Source organism: Homo sapiens, chromosome 11, assembly GCF_000001405.40.
Source record: "Homo sapiens chromosome 11, GRCh38.p14 Primary Assembly".
Taxonomy (NCBI): domain Eukaryota; kingdom Metazoa; phylum Chordata; class Mammalia; order Primates; family Hominidae; genus Homo; species Homo sapiens.
The window spans coordinates 54,591,077-54,616,276 of record NC_000011.10 but is presented as its reverse complement, the minus strand read 5'-3'; the positions used below and the strand labels follow the sequence as shown (position 1 = coordinate 54,616,276).

General features: G+C 36.5%; 1 protein-coding gene and 1 pseudogene across 1 annotated transcript; one reads left to right on the top strand and one right to left on the bottom strand.

Annotated features, from left to right (window-relative positions):
* Nucleotides 1-12,278: 12,278 nt before the first annotated feature.
* OR4C46 (olfactory receptor family 4 subfamily C member 46) lies at nt 12,279-13,208 on the top strand. Its single transcript, NM_001004703.1, has one exon. It carries the CDS (start codon nt 12,279-12,281, stop codon nt 13,206-13,208), a length of 930 nt encoding a protein of 309 aa, NP_001004703.1.
* Nucleotides 23,871-24,797, bottom strand: OR4C50P (olfactory receptor family 4 subfamily C member 50 pseudogene; annotated as a pseudogene).

Below are 25,200 nucleotides of genomic sequence, written 5' to 3'. Positions count from 1 at the left end.
CCCACTGCACGGTCTATAAATTGCTCCAACTAAGCTCCTCCCACTTTCTTTATAAAACTGTGTTGTGAATTTTTGGCAAAAAGATTTTAGACAAATTGTGAAAGTCAAATTCTGTTTGACATACCAAGCCACAAACTTTGAAACTGTTTCCCAGCTTTTACCATTGTAGATTATAAAATATCAAAAGCAGCAAGACTGTCATATGGGCAACATTATGTTTAAGCTGTGTTAAAGTTAAGCAAAATTTTGCATTGAGGAAACATATGTAAAAGTGAGTTATAAACTGTAAATATATGTGTTACATGTTCAAATTTCTTTAATATAGAAATGTAAAATGGATGCTTTAGTTTTTTTCAACTATGGATAAAAATAGTATTTAATGCTAATTTTTTCAGGAAATAAAGTTTAAAATGGCAAAATAAATTTTTAAGGGAAGGAAATGCAGTGTATGATATACCAAAAAAGCAAATAAATTTATTCTTTTTCCAGCAGTGCTATTCAGAAAATGTTATAGAAGTTAAAACCTGTTTTTGAAAATAAGCAAGGCATAGAAATAAAAAAGAGAAATGTGAAAAAAATAAAAGTTAGCCAGGCATGGTGGCAGGGGCCTGTAGTCTCAGCTACTCAGGAGGCTGAGGCAGGAGAATGGCGTGAACATGGAAGGCGGACCTTGCAGTGAGCCGAGATCATGCCACTGCACTCCAGCCTGGGCAACAGAGCCAGACTCCATTTCTAAAAGGAAAAAAAGAAAACTTGTCAATCCCAATTATGAATAAAGTTAAAAAAATAGAAAAAAATAAAAAAATTGTAAAAAGCATAGATTTTAAAAAAAGTGTACAGCCATGTAATAATAGTGGGGGACTTCAATACCCCCACTGATGGCACTAGACAAATCATTGAGGCAGAAAATGAACAAAGAAACTGTGAGCTAAAACTGGACTCTAAACCACATGAACCTAATGGACACTTACAGAGCATTCTACCCAACACATGAAAAATACACATTCTTCTCATCTGTGCATAGAATATTCTCAAAAATAAACCATATACTAGTCCACAAGGCAAGTCTCAATAAATTTTTTTAAATTGAAACCATAACAAGAATTTTCTTGGATCAGAGTGGAATAAAACTAGAAATAAATATTAAAAGGAGCTCTCAAAACAATACAAATCCATGGAAATTAAACAACCTGCTCCTGAACAAACTTCATATCAATGATGAAGCAAGGCAGAAATTTTAAAGAAATTGGAAACAAATGGAAATAGAAACACAGCATCTCAAAACTTCTGATATACAGCAAAAACAGTGCTAAGAGGGAACTTAATAGGGTTCAATACCTACATCAAAAAAGTAGAAATATCTCAAGTTGTCAACCGAATGTTGTACCTCAAGGAACTAGAAAATCAAGAACAAACAATAGCCAAAGTTAAAAGAAAAAAAACTACACAGATCAGAACTTGGTAAAATTGGGACCAAAAAAATATGTAAAGGATCAATGAAATTAAAAGTTGGCTCTTTGAAGAGATGAACAAAATTGGTAGACTGCTAGATAGAGTAACCAAGAAAAAGAGAGAATATTCGTGTAAGTATAATAAGAAATGATAAAGGTGACATTACAATTGATACCACAGAAATACAAAAGATTATCATAAACTACTATGAGCATCTCTACACAAATAAACTAAAAAACCTGGAGGAAAAGTATATATATTTCTGAAAACATATAACATCCCAAGATTGAACCAGGAAGAAATAGAAATGCTAAACTGACCAGTAATGACTAATTAAACTTAAATAGTAATTTTAAAACCTCCCCCAGCTTGTCAAGAAAAGCCAAAGACCAGATAGATTTATAATTGAATTCTACCAGATGTAAAAAAAGTACTGGTACCAACTCTATGGAAGCTGTTTTAAAAAAATAAAGAAGAGAATCCTCCCTTACTCATTCTATGAAGCCAGGATCACTCTGATGCCAAAGCCATTCAAGGGCACATACATACACAAATACTACAGACCAATATCCCTGATCAATATCTATGCAAAAATCTCAATAAAATACCAGCAAAACAAATCCAACAGCACATCAAAAATAAAATGCCCTACAATCAAGTGAGTTTTACTACAGAGATGCAAGAATGGTTAAACATATGCAAATCAATAAATGTGATTCACCATATCATATGAATTAAAAATAAAAACCATGTGATGATCTCAATAAATGCAGAAAAGGAATTTCATAAAATTCAGCATCTCTTCCTGATAAAAACTCTCAAAAAAACTAGGCATCAAAGGAACAAAACTCAAAATAATAAAAATTATATTCAACAAACCCACGGCCAACAGTATACTGGACAGGATACTGTTTAAAGCATTCCCCTTTAAGAACTGGAACAAGACAAGGATGCCCACTTTCAACACTCCTACTCAATACAGTTAGTACTAGAAGTCGTAGCTAGAGAACTCAGGAGAGACAAATAAAACATATCCAAATTGGAAAATAAGAAGTTAAATTATTTCTGTTGACTGATAATATGATCAAAAAACCAAAAAAAAAAAAAAAACAAACACCAAAGACTCCTCCAAAAGACTCCTAGATTTCACAAATGACTTCATTAATGTTTCAGGATACAAAATCAACATGCAAAAATCAGTAGCATTTTTATATACCAATAACAATCATGCTGAGAACTAAATCAAGAAGTGAATCCTATTTACAGTAGTTGCAAGAAGAATAAAATACATACAAATAAACTTAACCACAGAGGTGAAAGATCTCCACAAGGAGAACTACAAGACACTGATAACACAATCATCGATGACACAAACAAAAATCCTATGCTCATGGATTGTAAGAATAAATACTCTTAAGATGGCAAGAAATCTATAGATTCAATGCAGTTTCTATCAAATTACCAATGCCATTTTTCAAAGAATTGGGAAAAGTCCTAGAATTCATATGGAACTAAAAATGACCCTGAATAGCCAAGGCAATCCTAAGCAAAAATAACAAAGCTGGAGGCATTACATTACCTGACTTTAAATTATACTCCAAGGCTATAATAACTAAAACAGCATGACACTGATACAAAAATAGACACATAGATCAATGGAACAGAATAGAGAACCCAGAAATAAAGCCACATACCTATAACTGACTGATTCTCAACAAAGGTGACAAAAATATGCACTGAGGGAAGGACAACCTATTCAATAAATGATAAATTGGATAGCCATATGCAGAGGAATAAATGTGGACCCATATCTCTCACTATGTAAGAAAATTAACACAAGATGGATAAAAAGACTTAAATGTAAGTCTGAAACTATAAAGATCATAGAAGAAAACCTAAGAAAAGCTCTTCTGGACATTGGCCTGGGCAAAAAATTTATGACCAAGTCCTCAAAATCAAACACAACAAAAATATATAAAGGGGACTTAATAAAATTAAATAGCTTCTGCACAGCAAAATAATTAACAGAATAAACAATTTAAAAAATGGGAGAAAATATTTGCAGATTAAGCATCTGACAAAAGGATAGTATGAAGAATCTACAAGGAACTCAAATAAGAAAACTAATAATAACCCCATTTAAAAGTGGGAAAAGGACATAAACAGGCACTTTTCCAAAAAACAGACATACAAGCAGAAACAAACATGAAAAAGTGCTTAACACCACTGATCATCAGAGAAATATAAATTAAAGCCACAATGAAATTCCATCTTACACCAGTCAGACTGGCTATTATTAAAAAGTCAAAAACAACAGGAAATATACAATACTGCTAGGAATAAAATTAATAAAACCTGCAAGAAAAACAGAGGGAGATTTATCAAAGAACTAAAAATAGTACTGCCCTTTGATCCAGCAATCCCACTACTGGGTATCCGCCCAAAGAAAAAGACATCATTCTATCAAAATGACACCTGCACTATGTTCTTTGCAGCACTATTCACAATAGTAAGGACACGGAATCAACCATCAACAGATGATGGATAAAGAAAATGTGAGATATATAGATAGATATCACAAATGTGAGATATATATACACATACATACACACACACACACACACACACACACCATGGAATGGTACTCAGCCATAAAAAATGTAATCTTGTATTTTGCAGCAATATGGATGGAACTGGTGGACATGATTCTAAGTTACATAACCCAGGAACAGAAAGCCAAATGCTACATGTTCTCACTTTTTTTAAGTAACTAAACAGCAAATTTTTATTTAGTTTTTTTGTTATTATTATACTTCAAGTTCTAGGATGCAACTGCAGAATGTGCAGGTTTTTTACACAGGTATACACATGTCATGGTCATTTGCTGCACCCATCAACCCATCATCTACATTAGGTATTTCTCCTAATGCTGTTCCTCCCCTAACCCCCAATCCCCCGACAGGCCCCAGTGTGTGATGTTCCCCTCTCTCTGTCCATGTGTTATCATTGTTCAACTCCCACTTATGAGTGTAGATGTTCTCACTTTCAGTGAGAGCTAAACAATGGCATACATGGACATACAGAGTGAAAAAGTAGACATTGGAAACTCCAAAAGGTGGGAGGGTGGGAGAATGTTGAGAGCTGAAAAATTACTTACTGGATACAATGTTCACTATGCAGGAAATGAGTACACTTAAAGCCCAGACCTCACCACTACACAATATATCCATGGAACAAACCTGCCCTTGTACCCTTAAAATCTATTTAAAAAAAAAAAACAGAACAGTTCTTTGAGAAATCTCCAAACCACTCTCCAAAGTAGCTGAGCTAATTTACATTCCCGCCAACATTATGTAAGTGTTCCCATTTCTCTGCAGCTTCAACAGTATTATTTTTACTTTTTATCTAAAAGTTCAAAATATTTTTTAAATGTACAACTACAAAAAATTGGTAAAAGCAATTTTAAAATATCTAAATAAACAGAGAGATATTCCAGGTCCATGGATTTGGAGACAGGATATTGCTATTATTTTATTCTCTCCACATTAATAATTAGAGATTCTGAAAAAACTGAAAAACAAAGCATAACAAGTTATAAAACAAGATCAATTCACTTATCAGGCGATTATTTGGGGAAAAACAAGAATAGCATGTGAAAATAAATGTCACTAACTATCCTAATCTTGATAAAATGGTAAAAGCACCGTTCCCAAATTTCAAAATACATAAATTGGACTTTATCAAAATTAAAAATGCTTCTGAATCAAAGTACACTATCAAAAAAGTGAAAATCAACCCAAAGAATAGGAGAAATATTTGTAAAATCATATATCTGATAAGAGTCTTGTTTCCAGAATATATAAAGAACTCTTACAACTCAACAAAAAAAGGTAAACAACCCAATTTGAAAATACGCAAAGAATTTGAAAAAGACATTTTCCGAATACGATATACATATAACTAATAAGCATATAAAAATAGGCTAAACATCATTGGTCATTGGGAAATGTAAATCAACATTGCAATGAAATACCACTTCACACCCAGTGGATGGCCATAATTTTTTAAATGGCAATTATCCAGTGTTGGCAAGGATATTGAATAATTGGAAATCTACTACAATTACTAAAGGAAATGTAAAATCTATGGATCTCTGAAAAACTGTTTGGTTGTTCTTCAAAAAGTTGAACATAGAATGACCACCTGACCCAGAAATTCCACTCCTATATATATACCGAAAAGAATTAAAAACAGGTGTTTGAACAAACTTGTACACAAGAGTTTATAGCAGCACTACTCACAATTGTGAAAACAACCTAAATTTCTATCAGTCTGTATGAATGGATAACCAAATTGTGGTATGTCCACAATAAAGTACTGATGCATGCTACAACATGGATGAAACTTGAAAGCATACTAAGTGAAAGAAGACACTAAAGGTTGAAAATTGCCTAATTCTATGTATATAAAATGTCCAAAATAAGCAAATTAATAGGAACAAAAAGCGGATTAGTGGTTACCAGGGACTGGGGAAAAGGGGAAATAGAAATGACTGTTCAACTATTCGGAGGCAATGAAAATGTTCTGCAATTAGATAGTTGTAATTATCGTAAAACATTGTGATTGTACCCAAAGCCAATTGATTATACATTTTTAAATAGTCAAAAAATGAATTTTTTCATATAATTTTTATGTTAAAGAAATCACAACACAAAAGGTATTTTGAAATAAATGAAATTTAAAGCACAACATATCTGAATTTCAGGGAAGTAATAAAAGTTCTAAAAAGGAAATTTGGGTCACAAAGTGTATACATTAAAAATAAATAGGCCGGGCACAGTGGCTTACACTTGTAATCCCAGCTACTAGGGAGGCTGAAACAAGAGAGAATCACTTGACCCTGGGAGGCAGAGGTTGCAGTGAGCCAAGATTCGTGCCAGTGCACTCTAGCCTGGGTGACACAGCAAGACTCCATCTCAAAATAAATAAATTAATTAATTAAAATAATGTCTGAAAACAATTATCAAAGGTTTTGTACTACAGAAACAGAAAATAACAACAAATTAAGCAGAAACTAAGTAGAAGATAGGAAATAATAAAGATTAGAACAAGAATCAATGAAATGTAAATTTTAAAAATAGAAAAATCAATGAAACAAATATCTGATTATTTTAAAAGATCAATAAAATTGATAAACAATTAGCTGAATTAATGTGAAGGAGCAAAAGATGGAAAGAAGTAAGGGGAGAGAGAGAGAAAAGGCAACTCATGTCAATAATGAAAGTGCATATAGCCTTGCAGATTCCACTTAATGATGAACACTATCCCTCTAAGATTGGGAACAAGACAAGGATGTCCACTCATCATTTCCATTCAGCTATGAAACCTAGGTCTAGCAATATACCCTAGGTTTCAGCCATTGCAAAAATATAAGAAAAGGAAATAAAAGACACACAGCTTGCAAAGGAAGAAACAAAATTATAAAAATACGTTTATTTGCAGATGACATAATTATGTAGGTAGAAAATTTAAAGTATTCTGCAAAAAACTAATAGGCCTAATCAGTAAGTTTAGCAAAGTAACAGGATGTAATGTCAATATTTTAAAAATCAATTGTATTTCTACAATAGCAACAAACAATTAGAAATGGAAATTAGAAACAAAATACTATATAAAACATTATTTAAAACATGAAATTTGAGGAGTAAATTATAACAATCAATTCAAAACCTGTATATGAAAAGTAGAACACACTGGTCAGAGAAATTAAATACATAAATAAATGGAGGGATATACCATATTAATAAATAGAAAACAATAATTATTTTACCATATCATTCTATATTTTCAATGCAATTCCAATCATAATTTTTGGAGATGTTGACAAGCTTATCCTGAAATTTATATGCAAATGTGCGAACTTAAAAGGAACTAGAATAGCAAATAATTATCAAAAAGAAGAAAGATTAGTTCTTACTCTACCTAATTTCAAGATTTAGTATAATGTACCAGTATCAATACTGTTTGGTATTGGCTTAAGGATAAAAATATAGCTCACTAAAATATAACAGAATGTCCAAAAATACATCCAAATATATAAATTTTTAAAAGAATGCCAAGGCAACTCAATATTTTTCAACAAATTATGCTGAGTCAATTGGATACCCATAAGAAAAAAAAAAAAACTTCAGCCATTACCTCATATAATGCACACACACACAAAAATGACCTTAAAATGAGTTAGAGATCCACATGCTAAATCTATAAAATTTCTACAAGAATTTGTTTTGACCTTAAGGAAATCCTGCCATTTGTGACAATGTGGAAAAACCTAGAGGACACTATGCTAAGTGAAATAAGCCAGACACAGAAAGTCAAACGCTGTATAATCTCACTTATATGCAGAATCTAAAGAGTCATACTCATAGAAACAGAGAGAATGATGGTAGAATGACGGTTGCCAGGGCCTGGGGAATGAGGGATATGGGAATATATTTATCAAAGAGAACAATCTTTCATCTATAAGATGAACAGGTTCTGAGGATCTCATGCACAGCATGATTAGTAATGTATGTGTTAATTTTCTGTAATAACTATTACACAATGTACGTCTCGATCAAATCAACATTTTATCCACCTTGGATATATAAAATCTTTGTCAATTAAATATTTTTAAATTTAAAAATTAAAATTAATTAAATGGTCACAATTAGTTTCATGCCCTCACTGCTCTAGACCTCAAGGAACCATTAGCAGGTTTCCAGAAAAAGGCGTAATGTTGATTTTTTTAAAAAAGAAAATTCCTGTGACATGAATCAACAGAGAAACTACATCACAGGTCCTCACACAAGTTACGCTACCTTGCTACTCAAACAGAATTCAGCATTCTTAACAACACAGGCTCAGATAGAGAAAGAGGACTCAAAGGATTAGATTCCAAGTGTAAAGAATGAAATTCCTTATTCAGGAATTGTTTGTTTTTTTTTTCCAAACATGTCTCTCCAGAATACTGCTTCTGTGGCAAAGTTTTTCCATCAAAGGAGATAATTAATTCCTAGGAGAGAAAGCAGCAGCTATAAAATAAGATCCCTGAATCTTTACAGAAACCTCTTTAAATATTCATGCAGTGCAAGACAGAAGTGTTTTTCTTGTTCACTCATCCACAGCAAGATTAATCATGGGCAAAGTGATCCATTTATAACTGTTTCCTCCACACCTTCTGCCTCTTGCACTGTGGAACCAGAGCCATATGTAATCAATTCTTCATGGTGTTTCCAGTGAATTGATTTTAATTCAAGTCCCAGGTTTTCTGTGAAAATTTTTGAGACTTAGGCCAGATAAAAAGATTTATAGTCATAAGAACACTTTCTTTATTGAATTATAACTGATATACCAAAAAACTACACATTTAATGTGTACAGTTTTTTAACAACTGTGATTTAACATTGAATCATCTGAATAGGCTCTTTCCATGTGTTAAATCTTTCACACCAAAACTTACTAATTCCAAAAGAAGATCAGTTTGAAGAAGATTGTGTCTGAACACTCCCAAACATCAAGATTATCTAACTAAGACTACTAAGGTAAGTTTTCTAATAGTACCGATGCTTCTTAAAGATAGTTAATTTAAGTAGTCAGTAATCATTATTTTTCAACACCTCAAACATAGTATATAGAGTCTTTCATCCTCATCCCAATGTTTCAAAAGATAGTAAATATAATTAACCTATTTGACAGTTGAAAATTTTGAGTTTCTTAGAAATTCAGCAATTTGTAGGACCCAGCTCTCTGACACCGGGTACCATGCTTCTGCCATGATAATCAGACTAGCCATAAAGATTAAATATATAACTAACCTGCACATTGTGCACATGTACCCTAAAACTTAAAGTATAATAATAAAAAATAATAATAATAACAATAAGCACATGAAATATTACCTAAATAGCATTATGAAAAGTAACAGCATTTCCAAAACAAAAAACTAGTTAGTGAGAAAAGTGGCATTGTTTTAAATTTTTGCCAGTGTCTGGTTTAGTAAAATACAGCCAGATTCTCAAAACAAAAAAAAAAAAGATTAAAACAAAATTAAAATACATATCGTATACACAAAGGACATAAATATGAATACTAAATTGCATAAATCATCAGCTGTTTAGTCCAAGCACTAACATGAAGACCCCTTCCTGGGATCAACAGCTATGGACAGTATGAGTCACTGTGGCTTCTTCAAGAGTAATGTTGGAGATTATTCTTCCTGAGGTTATTGCATGGTCAATGATGCTCTGTTTATTGCTCTAATGATCACTTCTTATGATCCCTTAGCTGTGTACACACCTGTAAAAGTAAAGAAAGTCCTATGTGCATCCACAGCACTGTGGTAAACATTTTCTTATATGTTCCCTCAATCAATTCTCATAACAGCCTGTAAGATGATATTGTTATTCTCACTTTATAGATGAGGAAACAAAGATGAAAGGTGGCAAGAAACATGCCCTGGCTTAAAAAAGTTGCAGGTGGAAAAACAATGATTCTAATCACATATATTTTTAATTCTAAATCTAATATACTTGGCCACTGTAGTAGTTATTTTCTTTTCTTTTTCTTTTTTTTTTTTTTTCTGAGACGGACTCTCGCTCTGTTGCCCAGGCTGGAGTGCAGTGGCCTGATCTCGGCTCACTGCAAGCTCTGCCTCCCGAGTTCATGCCATTCTCCTACCTCAGCCTCCCAAGTAGCTGGGACCACAAGTGCCCGCCACCATGCACAGCTAATTTTTTGTTGCTTTTTTTTTTTTTTTGAGACAGAGTTTCACTCTGTCGCCCAGGCTGGAGTGCAGTGGCATGATCTTGGCTCACTGCAATCTCCGCCTCCTGGGTTCACGCCATTCTCCTGCCTCAGCCTCCCGAATAGCTGGGACTACAGGCACCTGCCACCACACCAGGCTAATTTTTTGTATTTTTAGTAGAGACCGAGTTTCACCATGTTAGCCAGGGTTGTCTCGATCTCCTGACCTCGTTATCCTCCCGCCTCGGCCTCCCAAAGTGCTGGACTTATAGGCGTGAGCCACCACGCCCGGCCAGTAGTCATTTTCAACATTTTGTTCAAGAGTCTGGGGGCCCACGACTTGGTGGGGTGGGGGTGTTGAGGAAAGAGCTGGGACTAGGGGAGAAGCTAAGATAGATGTACCTTCAATGATTCAATACCACATTTTTCTTAATATTTGAACTCAAAGATGTCACTGTGTTGTGGGTGGGGAGGGGGGATACGGCTAATGAAATTGCTCCATACAAATTGCCTCTGAAGTAGTATTAAAGTAAGTATAATCATAATGGTCATATCAAAAGGAGATTATTAGTTCAACATTGTTTATTATAACATAACAACATAGGGCATGAGCTCAGAATTTGGAGAGAAAAAATTAACTAGTATAATGTGACTAATCTTGACTCTGTCCTTTATTAAACTGCTTGATCTTGGATGGGATCTTCAACTTCCCTATGCTTCTACTTCCTAATATGTAAAATAAGTATAAAAATGATAGTACTATTTTCTGGGTTTATTTTGTGATTGCCTGCAAAAAAACATTTAGAAGACACTAGTGCTCAGTATGTTTTAGTTAATATTATCAATATTATGAGTGTTATAATGTTAATATAAATAATATTACATTATTGTATAATATAAATATCATTGTGTTAACATAACTATTAACATTAATCACTAATATTGCTGCCTTATCTGAAAATTTGATGAAATAATACTGGTCACCTAGGATGTTATAAGTGTTCACTGGAATCATGTGTGCAAAGCACTTACTACTATGGCTTTTGCAAGACAATTAATTATTAAAGGGCATATAATATTAGTTATTATAAAGTTAATTAGATTTAGACAATAAGCATTATGAATTATTTTAGTAGCTCTTATATCCTTTTTTTATACTTCTTTCTGTCTCTCTCTGTCACTCTCTGTCACCCAGGCTGGAGTGCAGTGGTGTGATCTTGGCCTCACTGTAATTTCTGCCTCCTGAGTTCAAGTAATTCCCCTGCCTGAGCCTCCCAAATAGCTGGGAATACAGGCAAGCACCATCACGCCTGGTTAACTTTTTGTATTTTAGTAGAGATGGGGTTTCACCATGTTGGCCAGGATGGTCTCGATTTCCTGACCTCGTAATCCACCCGCCTAGGCCTCCTAAAGTGCTGGGATTACAGGTGTGAGCCACCGGCCCAGCCACCCAGTTACTTCTTATGTCAAGTACTCTAAATATTCTGCCCACTGGGGTTCCTTTCTCTGGCTAACACCTGCTTTGCAGAACCTCAGCCCACTTCATCCAAGACATACAAAGACTTGTACTAGTGGGATACTCCAAGATTCCTACTCCTCAAATTCCTCTTCATCTTCCCACTCATATTGACAGTAACCTACCAATGTTCCCCATTTCCTAAAGAATAAATGGCAAATTCCTTAGCTTTACACCATGGCCTTTAAATTCATTGTCAATCTCCCTTTTCAGGTTTAGCTGCTACCGTGTATCCAATCTACTACTTCAAATTGAGCTCTTAGGCCTCCCAGATGATTGAGTATACACACATGACATCCTGACTTTGTTCACAAGAGTTTCTAATGTCGATACTCTTCACAGAGTCTTCACCAAGTAATCTTCAAGAACTGAGAAACTTTATTAACATCTCAAGAAAAACCTTATAGGAATTTACAGTTTAATAAAATTCAAGCATTTATTATTAAAATGGAGATATGTAATAAATTCAAAGTTGTATTAATAAAAAATTTTTACAGGTAATGCAATTAATCATCATGAGAAATACATGGAGAATAGGAATAACATGACAGAGTTTGTTTTGCTGGGGCTTACAGAGAATCCAAAGATGCAGAAAATCATATTTGTTGTGTTTTTTGTCATCTATATCATCACTGTGGTGGGATATGTGCTCATTGTGGTCACCATCACTGCCAGCCCATCACTGGGGTCCCCCATGTACCTTTCCCTGGCCTATCTCTCCTTTATTGATGCCTGCTATTCCTCTGTCAATACCCCTAACCTGATCACACATTCACTCTATGGAAAGAAGGCCATCCTATTCAATGGATGCATGACTCAAGTCTTTGGAGAACATTTCTTCGGAGGTGCAGAGGGCATCCTACTTACTGTGATGGCCTATGACCACTATGTGGCCATCTGCAAGCCCTTGCACTATATGACTATCATGAACCAGTGTGTGTGTGCCCTGCTAATGGGAGTGGTGTGGATGGGAGGCTTTCTTCATGCAACCATACAGATCCTCTTCATCTTCCAATTACCTTTCTGTGGTCCTAATGTCATAGATCACTTTATGTGTGATCTGAACCCTTTGCTCAACCTCGCCTGCACTGACACCCATATGCTGGAACTCTTCATTGCTGCCAACAGTGGATTCATCTGCTTGTTAAACTTTGCCCTCCTGCTGGTCTCCTATGTGGTCATCTTGTGCTCCCTAAGGACTCATAGCTTGGAGGCAAGGCACAAAGCCCTCTCCACCTGTGTCTCCCACATCACGGTTGTCATCTTATTCTTTGTGCCCTGCATATTTGTGTACATGAGACCTGCAGCTACTTTACCTATTGATAAAGCAGTTGCTATATTCTACACTATGATAACTCCTATGTTAAACCCCTTAATCTATACCTTGAAGAATGCCCAGATGAAAAATGCCATCAGGAAATTGTGTAGTAGAAAGGACATTTCAGGTGACAAATAAATGTAACTAGAGCTCAACATTGATTCAATTTAGTCATGTCCTTTTAGGGACATGGATGAAGCTGGAAATCATCATTCTCAGCTAACTATCACAAGAACAAAAAACCAAACACCGCATGTTCTCACTCATAGTTTGGAATAGAACAATGAGAACACATGGACACAGGAAGGGGAACATCACACACTGGGGCCTGTTGTGGGGTGGGGGAGGGGGGAGGGATAGCATTAGGAGATATACCTAATGTTAAATGACAAGTTAATGGGTGCAGCACACCAACATGGCACATGTATACATATGTAACTAACCTGCGTGTTGTGCATATGTACCCTAAAACTTAAAGTATAATAAAAAAAAAAGAAAAAGTCAGAAGGACATTTTGGATAATTGCAGTGGGGCAAATTGATTGGATGAAGAAAACATTCACCATATGATTCATAGATTCTGCATTGAGGGGTATAGAAATGGTTCAAGGAAAGAGAGAAAACAACCGAGGACAACTCTGCATATTTGGGAAATTCTACCAAGTTGGGGCTTAGTTTTACTAGTTTCATCCTGTATATGGATTCATAGGCTTTCCTCTCACAAATAAAAGAAATAATAGCATATATTGGTATCTAGCGGTAATATCTGTAACACTTCAAAGAGGTAAGCACTACTATTATCTTCATTTTACAAGTTAGGAAGCTTACAGGAAGGAGAAGATATCAAAATAGATATGTTGATGAGCTAGTAACCAAACTATAACTGATTTTCCAGACCATACTCTTAACTGCTATGATATTCTGCCACAGAGTGATAATGAAAATGTCAGTTAATTATACTACTTACCATTTTGGGACCACAGACTATGCTAGGCACAATGCATATATTAGTTTGTTATCTAACTAAAAATATAAGAAATTTTATTAACAACTCTGCTTTTTTATTTATCATTATTGATGGTCATTTGTTTTCTGAAACATTATGGTATCTAACCACTTTAAGACTGTAATAACAATAGGCCATAACCTCTCATGGGTAGGTAATGAAGTTTATATCATGTTTCCAAATGTCAGTGTAGGCTTCTGAACGATTTTGTATTGCTCAAGTCACCCATATTATGCTGAAAACCCATCAGAAAGGGTGATGGCTTCATTGAAAGAGCATTTGAATTTCAGGCTGAAATTTCTATTAGTTAAATATACAATCATGGCCCATAAAGTACTTGCCTACTAGATAACAATAATTGCCACAAGGTAGCACAATGTCTGGTACGTGATAAACCTCGAATGATTTAATAGAATTATTAAGGAAGGTAAATGAATTCAACAAAATTTAGAGCTAAAAAAAAAATAGTACTGATGATAGGAATTGTTTTCTTATCTGATTCAGGCACTAAGGAGAATTCTAGCTGGACCTCTTGGGGGAACACAGTTTGTTTTTACTCCTTACGCTGAAGAATACAGAAGAAATAGAAGCAAATTCCTAGCATATGAACAAATAGCTAATCTTGAAATTTTTCTGCTTTCAGCAACATTTTATCTTATGATTATGAGCTATTTATTTTCTATTCCTCTGTCAATCAGTTTACTTTTTGGTAACATTTTATTATTAAAAGCTGTTTTTGGGAGGGGGCCAAGATTGCCGATTAGAAGCAGCTGAGATCCGTGGCACTCACGGAGAGGAAAGAAAAGGACAAGTGATACAGCATCTTCAACTGAAAGATCCAGGTACTCACATTTGGGACAGATCAGGGAAACAACTCCACCCACAGAGAATGAAGAAAAGCAGCACAGCGGTATGGCTCACCCAGGAGCAGCAGGGAGCCAAGGGAACCCCCACGATGCAGTAAGGGAATGTGCAACCCCAGAAAACCATGATTTTCCCATGGATCTTTGTAACCCGTGGATCAGGAAATCCCCTCGTGAGCCCAGGCTACCAGGGCCTTGGGTCCGATACACACAGCTGTGTAGTCTCCACAGAGCAGCTGCTCAGACACACACAGAGACCCAGGAGCTTTACAAACTCGGGCCCAAGGATCCCCAACAAACTTGTCTGCAACTCAGGCAGGGCGGGAAGTCCATAAGTACCCCTAGGAAGGGGGATGAATCCAGGAAGCCAAGCCACCTCGGTCTGCAGGCCCCACTCCCACAGCACCTCACAAGAAAAAAGCTGTTTTGAAGACTATATAGCTGTGTATGTATCCAAAGCCATTTCGGAATAAATATACTTCATTCATTCTTTCTATTTCTTATTCATTGGTTAACAAGTATTTAGAGACCAAGGAATGCATCAGGTACATTGAAAATTGCTGGGGCATTAGTGGTGAATAAAGAGAAACCCAGGTGTTGCCTTCACAGAGCTGAGGATTCACTGAGAGGCTAGCAAAGGAGAAAAGACATAGACCTGAGGGGTCTACTAAAAATACAAAAATTAACTCAGTGTGGTGGCAGGCACCTGTAATCCCAGCTACTTGGGAGGTTGAGGCAGGAGAATCGTTTGAACCTGGGAGGCAGAGGTTGCAGTGAGCTGAGATCACGCCATTGCACTCCAGCCTGGATGACAGTGCGAGACTATGTCAAAAAAGTAAAATAAAGAAAGAAGGAAAGAAAAGAAAAGAAAAGTCAGCAGAATGCATAGGCATGAAGCTGAGAGCAGTGCTTGTAGGAGAGAGAATACATAACAAAGGCCCAGAAGGTGAAAAGAGTATGCAGGAAACCTAATCAGTGCAATATGGCCATGATCATTAATTCACTCATTCACTCAGCAATTATTTACTGAACCCCCAACTTGTGTGCCAGGCAACATGAGAGACACTGAGCTTATAAAGTCTTGTAAATTGTAAGACATGAAGCTAGAGAGATAGGGAAAGAGAATATCAAGAAGGGTCTTATAGTTGTGTTAAGACTTAATGCTAAGGACCATGGGAGAAACAGGGAAGGTATATTTAAGATAGAGAGTGATACAGCTAGATTTTAATTTTTTAATGATAATCCCAACTACAGTATGTAAAATGGATTGAAGGATCAAGACTGGAGGCAGGAGACCACCTAGGGGTTTATTGTAATTATTTCAGTGTGAAAGGCTGGAGATCTCAGCCCTGGTGTTGTCAGTTAGGAAGCAGAATATGGTGGACACTATTATGCCCAGCTCAAATCCCCTTTACCAGGCCAGTGCACATATGCCCCAACTACTGTGTGTCTGGGCTGCTAATAGCTCACAGCCCTGTCCTTTTCTGGTCAATTGCACCAGATAAAATGGGAGGGGCGTCACTTGGGGTATTTTGTTCCCTCTCCCAGGGCCCACCAGAAATGATTGCCTGGAATAGGGTTTAAGAGGTTAGTTCCTTTGTCTCAAGGTGGAAGCAGTTCTGTAGCACAGTGTATACCTCAGAGCTCCCGGGGCTCCAGGCTAGAGGCAGACTAGTTGAGACTACATCCTTCCTTCCCTACTATAGTATGTTTCCTTCAATCTTTTCCCCTTATAAATCACGTTTATTAAAATTCTCATATCATCCTCTGAACCTAGGGAAATCAAACTAACCTGGAGAGATATAGAAACTTTTGAAGAATATTTTTGAATTCTAAACAAAAGAACTTGATATAGGATGAAGATGAGAGAGAGAGAAGTCACAGATGAAACTTGGGCCCTGGCTTAGATCACTGGATGGAAGGAAGACAGAGAAGATTAATGAGATTTTGAATATGTTGAACGATGTTCAAGTCTTAATGTAGTATTAAATATTACTCACATAGGTGATCCTAGGACCTATCCTCAGAAACAAGCCCTGGAGGCAAGGCACAGAGGCAGAATTGTGGTTGACAGGGGTTGGGGGAGGCATAATGTGGAGATGTAGGTCTGAAAGTACAACATTTCAGTTAAACAAAGTGAATAAAGTCCTGAAGATCAAATGAACAGCCCGGTGATTATACTTAATAATAATGTAATGTATACTTGAAATTTACTGGGAGAATAGATCTTAAATCTTACAAAAATAATAGTACCTATGTGAGGTGAGAGCTATGACAACTAGCTTGATTGTGGTAATCATTTTACCATATATACATATATCAAAACATTACATTGCATACCTTAAATATATGCATTTTTGTTAGTCAGTATTACCTCATTAAAGCTAAGAAATATTTATTAGAAATTAAATGATGTGATATAATTATTTAATAATACATAGTTGATTTTTTATTTTAAAGATGCTAATATTTGTCTTATTATTCTAAGTGAAGTAACTCAGGAATGGAGAACCAAACATTGTATATTCTCACTGATATGTGGGAGCTAAGCTATGAGGACAGAAAGACATAAGAATCATACAAAAGACTTTGGGGACTTGGGGAGAAGATTGGGAGGGGTTTGAGGGATAAATAACAGCAAATACGGGGCAGTGTATACTGCTTGGGTGATTGGTGCATCAGGATCTCACAATACTCCACTAAAAAACTTACTCAGAGGAGTACCCAGGCATGTGAGGTGTCAGTCTTCCCCTAATGGGGGGTACCTCCCAGTAAGGCTACTCGGGGGTCAGGAAAAAACTTGAGGAGGCAGTCTGTCCATTCTCAGATCTCCAGCTGCGTGCTGGGAGAATCACTATTCCCTTCAAATCTGTCAGACAGGGACATTTAAGTCTGCAGAGAACTAAATGCCCACAAGAGAAAGCAGGAAATATATAAAAGTGACACCCTAATATCACAATTAAAAGAACTAGACAAGCAAGAGCAAACACATTCAAAAGCTAACAGAAGGCAAGAAATAACTAAGATCAGAGCAGAACTGAAGGAAATAGAGACACAAAAAAACCTTCAAAAAATCAATGAATCCAGGAGATGGTTTTTTGAAAAGATCAACAAAGTTGATAGACCACTAGCAAGATTAATAAAGAAGAAAAGAGAGAAGAATCAAATAGAGGCAATAAAAAATGATAAAGGGGTTATCACCACCAATCCCACAGAAATACAAACTACCATCAGAGAATACTATAAACACCTCTAGGCAAATAAACTAGAAAATCTAGAAGAAATGGATAAATTCCTCAATACATACACCCTCCCAAAACTAAACCAGGAAGAAGTTGAATCTCTGAATAGGCCAATAACAGGCTCTGAAATTGAAGCAATAATTAATAGCTTACCAACCAAAAAAAGTCCAGGACCAGATGGATTCACAGCCGAATTCTACCAGAGATACAAGGAGGACCTGGTACCACTCCTTCTGGAACTATTCCAATCAACAGAAAAAGAGGGAATCCTCCCTAAGTCATTTTATGAGGCCTGCATCATCCTGATAACAAAGCCTGGCAGAGACACAACAAAAAAAGAGAATTTTACACCAATATTCCTGATGAACATCAATGCTAAAATCCTCAATAAAATACTGGCAAACCGAATCCAGCAGCACATCAAAAAGCTTATCCATAATGATTAAGTGGGCTTCATCCCTGGGATGCAAGGCTGGTTCAACATATGCAAATCAATAAATGTAATCTATCATATAAACAGAACCGAAGACAAAAACCACACGATTATCTCAATAGATCCAGAAAAGGCCTTTGACAAAATTCAACAACCCTTCATGCTAAAAACTCTCAATAAATTAGGTATTGACGGGACGTATCTCAAAATAATAAGAGCTATCTATGACAAACCCACAGCCAATATTATACTGAATGGGCAAAAACTGGAAGCATTCCCTTTGAAAACTGGCACAAGACAGGGATGCCCTCTCTTACGACTCCTATTCAAAATACTGTTGGAAGTTCCGGCCAAGGTGATCAGGCAGGAGAAGGAAATAAAGGGTATTCAATTAGGAAAAGAGGAAGTCAAATTGTCCTTGTTTGCAGATGACATGATTGTATATCTAGAAAACCCCATCGTCTCAGCCCAAAATCTCCTTAACCTGATAGGCAACTTCAGCAAAGTCTCAGGATACAAAATCAATGTGCGAAAATCACAGGCATTCTTATACACAAACAACAGACAAACAGAGAGCCAAATCATGAGTGAACTCCCATTCACAATTGCTTCAAAGAGAATAAAATACCTAGGAATCCAACTTACAAGGGATGTGAAGGACCTCTTCAAGGAGAACTACAAACCACTGCTCAATGAAATAAAAGAGAATATAGACAAATGGAAGAACATTCCATGCTCATGGGTAAGAAGAATCAATATCATGAAAATGGCCATGTTGCCTAAGGTAGTATATACATTCAATGCCATCCCCATCAAGCTACCAATGACTTTCTTCACAGAATTGGAAAAAAACTACCTTAAATTTAATATGGAACCAAAAAAGAGCCCGCATTGCCAAGTCAATCCTAAGCCAAAAGAACAAAGCTGGAGGCATCACACTACCTGACTTCAAACTATACTACAAGGCTACAGTAACCAAAACAGCATGGTACTGGTACCAAAACAGAGATATCCACCAATGGAACAGAACAGAACCCTCAGAAATAATGTCACATATCTACAACCATCTGATCTTTGACAAACTGGACAAAAAAAAGAAATGGGGAAAGGATTCCCTATTTAATGAATGGTGCTGGGAAAACTGGCTAGCCATATGTAGAAGGCTGAAACTGGATCCCTTCCTTACACCTTATACAAAAATTAATTCAAGATGGATTAAAGACTTAAATGTTAGACCTAAAACCATCAAAACCCTAGAAGAAAACCTAGGCAATACCATTCAGGACATAGGCATGGGCAAGGACTTCATGTCTAAACACCAAAAGCAATGGCACCAAAAGCCAAAATTGACAAATGGGATCTAATTAAACTAAAGAGCTTCTGCACAGCAAAAGAAACTACTATCAGAGTGAACAGGCAACCTACAGAATGGGAGAACATTTTTGCAATCTACTCATCTGACAAAAGGCTAATATCCAGAATCTATAATGAACTAAAACAAATTTACAAGAAAAAAACAAGCAACCCCAACAAAAAGTGGGTGAAGAATATGAACAGACACTTCTCAAAAGAAGACATTAATGCAGCCAAAAGACACATGAAAAAATGCTCATCATCACTGGCCATCAGAGAAATGCAAATCAAAACCGCAATGAGATAGCATCTCACACCAGTTAGAATGGCCATCATTAAAAAGTGAGGAAACAACAGGTGCTGGAGAGGATGTGGAGAAATGAGAACACTTTTATACTGTTGGTGGGACTGTAAACTAGTTCAACCATTGTGGAAGTCAGTGTGGCGATTCCTCAGGGATCTAGAACTAGAAATACCATTTGACCCAGCCATCTCATTACTGGGTATATATCCAAAGGACTATAAATTATGCTGCTATAAAGACACATGCACACGTATGTTTATTGCAGCACTATTCACAATAGCAAAGACTTGGAACCAAGCCAAATGTCCAACAATGATAGACTGGATTAAGAAAATGTGGCACATATAGACCATGGAATACTATGCAGCCATAAAAAAGGATGAGTTCTTGTCCTTTGTAGGGACATGGATGAAACTGGAAACCATCATTCTCAGCAACCTATCGCAAGGACAAAAAACCACACACTGCATGTTCTCACTCATAGGTGGGAATGGAACCATGAGAACACATGGACAAAGGAAGAGGAACGTCACACACAGGGGCCTGTTGGGGGTGGGGTTAGGGGAGAGGGATAGAATTAAGACATATACCTAATGTTAAGTGATGAGTTAACGGGTGCAGCACACCAACATGGCACATGTATACATATGTAACGAACCTGCACGTTGTGCACATGTACCCCAAAACTTAAAGTATAATAAAAAAAGAACCTTCTCATGTAACCAAATACCACCTGTACCCCAATACCTTATGGAAAAAAAATTTAAAAAACATATACAATGGATTATACCAAGAAAAAGATACTAATATTTGTGATTAATATCTTCCTAAATCCAAACTGTTCATGAAAACCATAATATGTTAAGTGAAGTTTGGCTTATCTATGACAGTTGATGGAATTATTAATGCTAAGTCGAAGTATAAAATCATTCAGGAATGAGCTGGATGTGGAAGGTAGAGCTGGAGGTTGAGGCAGGGTGGTCTGAGGAACACAGATTCAGGGGTACAAATGGGAATGGAGAATGAGATATCTCTGATAACAGCTTTTAATCTTTTTTATTCCATGAGTAATAGTAGGAAATAGAAGTGCGTGGAAAAAAGTTAAACTAATATAAACAATGAAGTGCACTGTGCATATAAGTCATCTTTATTAAGGCTGTTTACCTAATGATCCTCTCTAAGACCGCCTGTACATGCTCAGTGGGGAACTCTTGTGAAAGTTTTAACAAGCATTACCAGTTTCACTGACAACCTTTCTATCTAGACTGTCTGGTCATCTTTATTAATTTCTTCACTACTCTAGAATGAGTAAAAAGACACTCTAGAATTGTGCCCCAGGAATCTCTGCTGCATCCATCTTCTACTCACCACTGTAAAATTTCTTGGGTATCTTCATGCCAGCTACCTGTCTTGATGACTTATGTGTGATTTTGCCTTTCTGCCAGACTTAAGTTTCAGTCACCCTTGGATATCAATTCTGGTTGTGTCCCTGGATGCTATATATTTCAGATTTTCTCATAACTTTACCTTTCTACACATTCCTGTTCCCGTTCTAGTGCCAAAGTCTAACACCTAGTGACCCTTCATATACCTTTTGATAAAGGAGCAGAAACTAGATCCTTCATGCTTTGAAGTGTATTACAATTGCCAAATCATGAAAATTCAGTTAAAAGTTTAAATAAGCCAGGCATGTGCCTCATTTTTTAATCCCAGCACTTTGGGAGGCTGAGGTGGATGGATCACCTGAGGTCGGGAGTTCGAGACCCACATGGCCAACAAGGCGAACCCCCGTCTCTACTAAAAATATAAAAATTATCCAGGCATGGTGGCACATGCCTGTAGTTCCAGCTACTCGGGAGGCTGAGGCAGGAGAATTTCTTTAACCCAGGAGCCCAAATTGTGCCACTGCACTCCAGCCTGGGTGACAGAATAAGACTCTGTCTCAAAAAAAAAAAAAAAAATTCCAAGTAATTGTTCATCTTCTGTCTATATATCTTCAGTGAAAGAATTAATCAGATACCAGTGCATAGCTAATAGTAAAATTAAATGAAATTATAACATGAGATTATACAGATTCTTTTAATAAATTGTGTTATTTTCATTTTTAGACTTTACAGTAAAAAAATAGTTGCAGCTACCTACTACCAACAAAGTGTGTAGAATAAGGAGCCATATCTCAATTTATATCTCATTCTGCCACTAACTTGAGGTTTGATCAAATCATGCCATATATATGCACTTCAATATCCTGTAAAATGTGTTACAAGAATTAAGGATAAAATTTGGGTGCTATTTGTCAATGTATTGCCTCTCAGCTCCAAATACAACCTTCATTGCCTGCTGCATATTAATGAAAATAAGCCGTGTAGAAATTTATCCTCTGCACCTAGTCTTCTTTGATGCTAAGTTTTGCCAGTATAGGAAATCAAAAGGGACATCTCTTCCTGATTTAAATATGTTTCTGTTTTCATCTTACTCTATGTAGCTTCCAGCACATGTGTTTGGCTGGGGGAGGGAGAGATATTCAGAAGTGCTCACTTCCATTGAGGTTCACTGACAACTTTACGGAAAATTTCCCATTGAGTTTCAGTGGTGCCTCTGCAGGGAGATTCCAATAAATCACACAGATACTCCAGCAATCAGTTTTCCAAAACTGCCTATCTATAATGGGGTAGCCTTGGTCCACCTGCACCCTAGAGGGTTATTTCCTCCTTGCCAGTCCAGGCTACAGTTCCTCATTTACCAGCCTCAGTCCACCAGTATCCCAGTGAAAGTCTCCCTGCTGGCCAGTCCCAGACAAGTTTCTTGTGGGGCAGCTTCTGTCCGGCTACCATGAACTAGTTCTGGCCCAAGACTACCCAGTGAATTTCTCCATCATCCAATGGGCAACAACTACACTTTCTTCAAAATATTGGAATCTCAGCCTTGGGAAGGGAGCCCAGCTCCCAGATGTGTTCCTTTCTTAGTTACTCATCTCTCAGTCACAGGACATTCTTTACTTCTTTATAGTTAATCCCTCGATATAATTAATAATTTTATGTAAATTTTCACTGCTCAAATCGGGGAAGCTGTGTGATCTGTCTCCTGATTGAACCCTAACTGGTACAATATGGAAAAAACTTAATAAAATGCAGCCTTGCAGGCATTAGATGAACAGTACATCTTTTTACAATACGACCAATATATAGTGACCAATAAAATTTACAAAAGAAAGTATGTATATATTAAGCCAGAGTCCAAAGTAAAGAAATATCATTAAACATGTTAATTTCAATAATCAGCAGTAACCAACTGCTTAATATTATATAATAAGATTATTTTAATATCAATCTAATATTCTACATTTATACTTTTTAGCATCTAGAGACGTTTCAAGTTTCCAGGCAATTGATGAATATGTATTAATTAAAAAACAATAGTGGTGATGACAAGAGTGTAGGATAAGAGACAGTAAGCTTTACAGTCCAAGCTTTAGCTTTATTCTTTACTGACTATCTGCAAGCATTAGCCAGCCCCTTGTTAGAGTTGACATATTCATCTACAAATCAAGAAGCTTAAATACCTATTACCTCTATGTTGAGTGCTCAATGGTCTTATTTAATTATTATCTGAAATCACTTTTTTTCTCCAAAGCTTCCTTATCACACTTTTTAACTCAGCATTTCTGAGTGTGTAGATCAAAGGATTTAACATTGGGACCACCATAGTATAAAATACAGCAGCAGCTTTTTCAATGTGCAGAGTGGTCACTGGGCACAGATACACAAATATACAGGGCACAAAGAATAAGACAATTACTATGATGTGAGAAATACAGGTGGAGAGGGCTTTACCCTTCCCCTCCAAGCTATAGTTCTTTAAAGATCTCAAGATGATCACACAGGATACCATCTAGAGAAGGAAGTTTAATAGGCAGATGAACCCACTGTTGGCAGCAACAAAGAAACCAAGGGTGTGAGTGTCCAGGCAAACAAGTTTTAACAAAGGGTACAAGTCACACATGAAGTGGTCTATTACATTGGGGCCACAGAAGGGCAGCCATACTGTAAAGAGAATCTGAATAGTTGCATGGAGAAATCCTCCCATCCAGGCCACTACCGCTAGGAGAATGCACAGGCTTTGGCTCATGATGGTTGTGTAGTGCAGAGGTTTGCAGATGGCCACATTGTGGTCACAGGCCATCACTGTCAGCAGGATGATCTCAGTAGCACCAAAAATGTGTTCTGCATAGGCTTGAGCCATACACCCATTAAAGGAGATGATTTTCTTCTCATGAAGGGAATCGGCAATCAACTTAGGAGCTGAAGAAGAAGAATAAACTGTGTCTATCAAAGAAAGGTGGGTCAGGAAGAAGTACATGGGGGAGATCAGAGCCTGGCTGGTGGTAATTGTAACCACAATGAGCAGGTTGCCTGAAAGTGTTATCATGTAAGGAACCAAAAATACTGCAAACATGATTTTCTCCATTTTAGGGTTCTGTGTAAGACCTGTTAAAATGAATTCAGTCACATTCCTTTTATTCTTCATCTATGTAGTGTGGGTGATAAAACCTCCAGGAAGGAATATTTTACCTTTAGAAAAAAAAAGGAAAAAAAAGAAGCATAAAAGAATCAAATAGTCCAAAACTTTGTCTTTTCATTACTCTGCCATCTCACAGGTGATTCCTTCTGCTCCCAAAATTCTCTAGGAATAGGTACCCGTAAACTTCTCTAGCTGACTTCTTAGTTTTTTATTAGCCTGACCTCAAAAATATTCTTAGAAGACATGGGACACCCAGAAGAGAGAGATTCCATTTCCTAGAGGGTAGTTGTTTCAAAACTTCACTTAGACATCAATATGATGGATTAATGCATTCATTAGAGGTAATAGTTTTGGAGACTAATAAGACTTTAAAATGTATGTATGAAATAACATGAACTAAAAACCATAA